Source organism: Homo sapiens, chromosome 5, assembly GCF_000001405.40.
Source record: "Homo sapiens chromosome 5, GRCh38.p14 Primary Assembly".
NCBI lineage: Eukaryota > Metazoa > Chordata > Mammalia > Primates > Hominidae > Homo > Homo sapiens.
In genome coordinates, this window is record NC_000005.10 from 161,186,134 (window position 1) to 161,192,953 (window position 6,820).

A 6,820-nucleotide genomic window follows, 5' to 3' on the forward strand; every position below is an offset into this window, starting at 1 on the left:
GGTGAATCAAGTGTGTTGTATCTAGCTGTCCCATAGGGAGGTGGTCACCAGGAGTAAGTTGTGTAAGGCAGATATCTAGATCGACCATACTGAGGAATTTGGAAGAGGCAGATAGATGGAAACTGTCAATGGTGACCAAGCCCTGCTTTGGTATGAGAAAGCGCACCTTATATTCAAAATGGATTCTGAGTCAACATAAAATTATAAGAAATCACTCATATCTCATTCTTCTCTTATTTTCATTGTTAGATAAAAAGTAGAGTTTGGAAAGTTGGTGTCTTAGGCTGTTCTTGCGTTGCTATAAAGAACTATCTGAGACTGGGTAATTTATAAAGAAAAGAGAAACCTTAGGAAAGAGGCCTCAGGAAACTTACAATCATGGCAGAAGGTGATGGGGAAGCAGGCACGTCTTACCTGGTTGAAGAAGAAAGAAGAGAGAGTGAAGGGGGAGGTGCTACACACTTTTAGACAACCAGATCTCGTGAGAAATCATTATCATGAGAGCAGCAAGGAGGAAGTTCATCCCCATGATCCAATCACCTCCCACCAGGCCCCTCTTCCAACAATGGGGACTACAATTCGACCTGAGATTGGATGGGGACAGAAATGAAAACCATATCAGTTGGTACATTGTCTGTTAATTGTCTATATTGTCCATTTTTCTGTATTCTATTTCATTAGTTTCTATTCTTGTGTTTAAGTTTTCCTTGCTTCTATTTATGGTGAGTTTAATTTGTTCTTTTTCTAACTTCATAAGTTAGAAACTTCGATCAGTGGTTTTTAAACCCCTCTTGTTTTCTAATATAAACACTTGAAGTTATGATTGTTATATGCTACAGATTCACTCTAAGCACTGCTGTGCATGCCTTCTACAATTATTTTTAACTTTGTACTTTGAACAAATTTTAGATTTAAGGAAAAAATTTAAAAAACAGAGTACAGAGAGTTGATGGGTTCATGTCCTCAAGCTTTCCCTAATTTCGCTGCCTTTCATAACCATGGGATGACTATCAAAACCAATACATTAATACTGGCACAATACTTCTAACTAAACTATGGACTTTGCATGAATTTCACCAGTTTTTCCAATTTTTGTCCTGTTTTGTTGTTTCTTCTTGTTCTACTCCAAATGGACAATTCCTCAGTGTTTCCTTGTCTTTTATAACCTTAACATTTTTGAAGAATGTTCATCAATTATTGTGTAGAATGTCCTTCAATTTGGGTTTCTAGCACTTTCTCATGATTAGAATAAGATTATGCTTTATTCTTTGTAAAAATACCACAGAAATAATGTTTTGTACTTTTTAGTGAAACACATCAGGGAATTCATAACATTAAATCTTATTATTTTTTATTTAACTTTGATCATTTCACTAAGTATGCTGTATGTTCTTTACCATTTGGACAGAAATGTTTTCTAATATTCTTTGTCATTTATTTTTTAAGTGATTGATTATTTACAAGTGTGCTTTGTTTTATTTAACGAATACCTGGGATTTCTAAACATCAATTTATTAATTTCTAAATTAATTCAATTTCATCAGACAGTGTACTTTGTAAGATTTTACTTTTGTTGGAATCTATTAAAACTTACTTTTAGCCAGGCATATGGGTTATCTTGGTGAACATTCTATGTGAACTTAAAAAGAATGCACATTCTATGGTTGTTAAGTGAAGTTCATAAATGTCAATTCGCTCAGGGCGTTTAAAATCTCCAACTGTGTGAGAATTTATCTCTTTCTCCATTTAGTTTTATTAGTTTTTCCTTCATACATTTTAAAGCTATGCTATTAAGGCATGTGCATTTATGGTTATTATATTCTTCTGAAGAATTTTCTGTCCATTATTATAAAATGTTCTTCTTTATCTCTGATAATGCTTTTTGTCTTTAAGCCATTTTTTTCTGATGTTAGTATAGCCTTGCAGCTTTTTATGCCTACTGTTTGCATGACATTTATCCTCTTAGTTTTAACTTATATATGTTGTTATACTTAAAGTAGATTTCTTTTTTTTTTTGAGATGGAGTCTTGCTCTTGTCACCCAGGCTGGAGTGCAGTGGTGCCATCTCGGCTCATGGCAACCTCCATCTCTGGGGTTCAAGCGATTCTCCTGCCTCAGCCTCCTGAGTAGCTGGGATTACAGATGCCCGCCACCAGGCCTGGCTAATTTTTGTATTTTTAGTAGAGATGGGGTTTCACCATGTTGGCCAGGCTGGTCTCGAACTCCTGGCCTCAGGTGATTCACCCGCCTCGGCATCCAAAGTGCTGGGATTACAGGCATGAGCCACCATGCCCGGCCAGATTTCTTGTACACAGCTTATCTTATAACTGGGTCTTCTATTAAATCCAATCTAACCATCACTATCTTTTAATTGAAATGTTTAGTTAATTGAAATTTAACCATTGCTATGGATGAACTTAACTGCTATTTTGTAATTTATTTTCTATCTTTCTGCCTTTTAAAATAAATCTTTTGCTTCTGTCTTTCTTAGGGCTAATACTTTAAAAAAATTTCTCTTTTAATACTTCTCTTGTCTTTTTAGCTAAACCTTTTAGCATTATTTTAGTGACTTCTATAGGATTGCAATATTTATTTTTACTTTATCATAATTTTCTTATAGTTGATTTGTACCACATCTAGTAAAATAAAAGAATTACAGCAGTATAGTTTCAGTTACTCTCTGGCCTTTGTGTTATTGTTACTTTACATGTTACATCGATATATATTAATGAGCTCCATTAAACATGTTATAATTTTTCTTTGAACATTCTTATGTCCTTTAAAGAAATTAAGAGAAGAAAAAATCATATATATGTATATATTTTTTTTTTCAGTGCTCTTTCTTTCTTCTTGTAGATACAAGTTTCCATCCAACAGCTTTTGGTTTCATTCTATCCTAAAGAATCTTGTTTAATATTTCTTGTAGTGTAGGTCAGATGATGATGAATTATTTTTTGTATCCTTTTATTTGCCAATCTGCTTTCCAGTTTATCCAGCCAATGTGTTCTTTCAAATATTATACTTTATAGTTATAGAATTTTTATTTGATTCTTTTTTTTAAACCAAAATCAGGTTTAATTTCTGTCAGAAAAACTCTGACTTCACTTCTCAAGTCAAATAAATGTATTAACAGGCATCCCAGTGACCACTTTACTTGATATAAAGTTTTCCTCTAAAGTAAGTCCCCTTCATGTCAGGTATTTTTAACTCACACTATCCTTGCTTTGCTCCAGGACAATCTCACTCAGGCAAAATGCCACCTTTGACTGCACTTGGGGTGAATGAGAGGAAATCTTTAAATGAAAATACTCCTCGCTACCACATACTCTCTAATATGCCTGAATTCAGAACACCACAATACAGGCCAACATAGGCCATTCATAATGCTTTGTCTTGCTGTTAAGGTATCCCAGGGAGGCACTTACCACCTTTTGAACAGCATTAGTTTGGAGGAATGAGTTTTAGAGCCTAGGAAGCCTGCTGCTGTCTCATCCTTCCCAGGTAGCTCAGGGAAGGAGTGGCAGCCCACTCTGTGTCAGTTGCCACTAAACCCTGATGACCAGTCAGTTTGCTCTGGTGAGGAAAGCACAGCAGGTGACTTAGCTCAGTCAAGACAAACCTGAGACCCAAGGATGGAATTGTGACTTCTAAGGTTAGAAAGCAGAGGCGAATGAGAACCTTTATTTGGTTCTTATAGTTTCTATTTCTCTGCTAGGTTTTCACATTATTTCTCTATTATATGCATATTTCCCCTTAAGTCCTTGAATGTATTTAGGATAAGCCTCAAAATCCAAATTCTGTCTTTCCTGTGGTGGGCAGCAAAGCAATTGTTCAGCTCTCAATCTTCCATCTATTGCTTTACACTGAGAATTTTGGAGCCTCCCTGATTCGGGAGCAGCTCAGGAATTGCCAAATAATTTAGGCAGAATGTATTTGTAGACCTTGACAGGCAGAGGTTCCTTCATTTCCACAATTGCCACCGTAATTTTCCAGGCTCTCGGCCTGCATTGAATGTCATTGCCTGATTCTCTAAACCAGTGAGAGTGAGGCCATGCCTGAGGTGTTCAATTACATGAAGTAATAAATCCCTCATACACTTCTTTTTGTCTTAAGCTAGTTTGATTTTTTTTTTATCTGTTGCAACTGAAGAATGCCTGACTAATATAAAGTCTGTTGCTAATTAGCAAGCCCTCTGGCAAACATTGTTCTTGTTTAGTGGGGAGTAATGGATTCCAATCCTCTTGTTTGAGTTAAATCTGAGTGGGGTGGAAACTGTGCTTCACCTGTGCCTTCCCCTGCGTAAAGTCACAACTGTAATTGGTTGTTTGTTTAATTTCTATATTTCTTGCTAGACTGCAAGATCGTACCAGAGACATCATCTTCTTTGCCACTGTTTTTCCAGTGCATAGCAGGGAGTGATCAACAAATATTTGTTTAGAGAATAAAATGTGGCATTTGAATTTCTCTATTGGATTGCAAATTACTATTTATTCAAGCAGTTATCAAGTCAGGGATTAATTGTCAATCTATTCTCTATGCTATAGCCAAAGTAATCTATTAAAGAATCAAAATAAGTCATGTCACAGATTACTAAAATTATCCAATGGTTTCCAATGCATTCAAGATAAAATGTAATCTCATTTCCAAAGTACAGAAAGTGCTCCATGTTGTGGTACTTTTCTCTCTCTCTAATCTCATGTCTTACCACTCCCCCTCTTTTTCATTATGCTCCAGCTCATTGGTCTTCTTTCTGCTTCAAGAACTTATTCTCGCCAAGCTTATTTCTGACCCAGAGCCTTTTCACTTGCAATTCATTCGGTTTACAATGTTCTTCCCACAGCTTTCCACATGGCTGGTTCCTTATTCAGATGTCAGAAGCTCACTTCTTCAGAGAGCTTTCCCCTTATCTCCCTACCTCTTATAGCACATATGCATGAGTACTTTCTTACCACAAATATACTCTCTTCAGTGCATTACTTCATTTATGCTATTTATAGAATTATTGCTTTAAGAAGCCATCATGATTATTTATTTATTTCCTTCTTTATGGTTTATCTCACGTCAAAAAAGATAATCTGCATGGGAGCAGACACTTCATCTGCCTTGTTCATCTCTGTATCATGCATGGAGTGCCCCTAACAGTGCTTGCTGGATGCATAAAAATGGATAAAAAGTATTTGATGAATAAGCCAGGCCTGGTGGCTCACGCCTGTAATCCCAGCACTTTGGGAGGCTGAGGTGGGTGGATCACCTGCGGTCAGGAGTTCAAGACCAGCCTGGCCAACATAGTGAAATCCCGTCTCTACTAAAAATAGAAAAAAAAAAAAAAAAAAAAGCTGGGCATGGTGGCACATGCTTGTAGTCCCAGGTACTACAGAGGCTGAGGCGGGAGAATCACTTCAGCCCTGGTGGCGGTGGTTGCAGTGAGCTGAGATCACGCCATTGCACTCCAGCCTGGGCAATAAGAGCAAAACTCCGTCTCAAAAAAAAAAGATTTGATGAATAAATAAATTTAATCCTAACAATAAAACCAAGAGTGACTGCAAATAATCCAGCTGTTAAAATGGTCAATTCACTCTAAACATAAGTCAAACCAATTATTTGGAATCATGAGGTGAAACTGTCACTCCTCTGCTTCTGTATGGTGAGGAATTAGTTTGGACCACAGAAACACAGCCTCCTTACAAGGAAAATAATAAAGGACCAGCCCACATTGTTTTATTGTTCTGTTCTTTTTGAAGTAGAATTTATACATACAAATGAGAAGCATTAAAGTTAATACTCTCATACAGCCAGACCACATCGATTTTTCTCCACAATTGATCTTATTCATTCTGAGCATTTACTATGTACTCAATATTCATTTAGGGGCAGGCATTGACCTCTATATTCATATGATCGTTTTTGTTTTTCATTCTTTTATATTTGTTGCTCTAATCACATCCATATGAGTATATCTGGTAATTTTTACTGTAGGATCTGCCATTGATTTAAATGTAGATCTCTTCTTAGCACATTTATTTATAAACAGAATAGACATGTACAGCACTACTTGACTGTTTATGCTATTTGCCTTGCAATTGTGTCTGGAAGTGGCATAGAGAAAATGACTTTACCACCAAGACTTCAGTAGTGTTAAGCAGGAATAAAGACAAGTATAGTTTTCTGGCTCTTTCTTTTACATGTTTTTCAGGCTTGCCAATCTCTGGAGAGTTCTATTCCTTCCTGAAGATTCCCATAAACCATGGAGGTGACTTGAGAATAAGTCTGGTCAGTAATCAGAAACAGAGCACTGTGTTTTCTCCCCTTTTTCTGGCTCTCTTTTAGGGAATGTCATATCTCTGCATATTCATCTTTGGGCACCACAGCTATTTCTTTCTATGTGATTCACTACTTATTTTCTCTGGGTACTGCCATGTGCTATTACTGCCCCCATTGGTATGGGGCTCTGGTGCTCTGGTGTCTAGAAGCACTTAACTGCTAATAGTTGGTATGTCCCCACATAACAACTATTGGTAGTTAAGTGCTTCTAGACACCAGAGCCCTTGAAGTGGCAAAGCCATGCTATTTTAGGAAGAACAGAGGGTTTGATTTCCCATTTTTTGTTGCTTACTTCTCCAGATGGCCTCCAACAAGGAGATGGTGCTTCCTGGTGAATTAGCTGCTTCTGATTCGGGGTTCTTTATCTTCACCTCTATTAAGACTTTTGCACAAATCCATAGTAAGGTACATAGGCAAGAAACAAATCTGCAATAATTGTGCACCCACTCTGATGACTTAAGTCCTTGTTACTGAACCATGTGTATCTGCCTGGATCAAT

At 36.9% G+C, this 6,820-nt stretch overlaps 1 annotated feature.

Annotated features, from left to right (window-relative positions):
* Positions 3,077-3,661: an enhancer, noted in NCBI's record as "OCT4-NANOG hESC enhancer chr5:160616217-160616801 (GRCh37/hg19 assembly coordinates)". NCBI's record gives its function as "activates a minimal SCP1, AML or CMV promoter by ChIP-STARR-seq in naive H9 embryonic stem cells {active_cell/tissue: H9 hESC(naive)}" and the evidence as "EXISTENCE:reporter gene assay evidence [ECO:0000049][PMID:30033119]".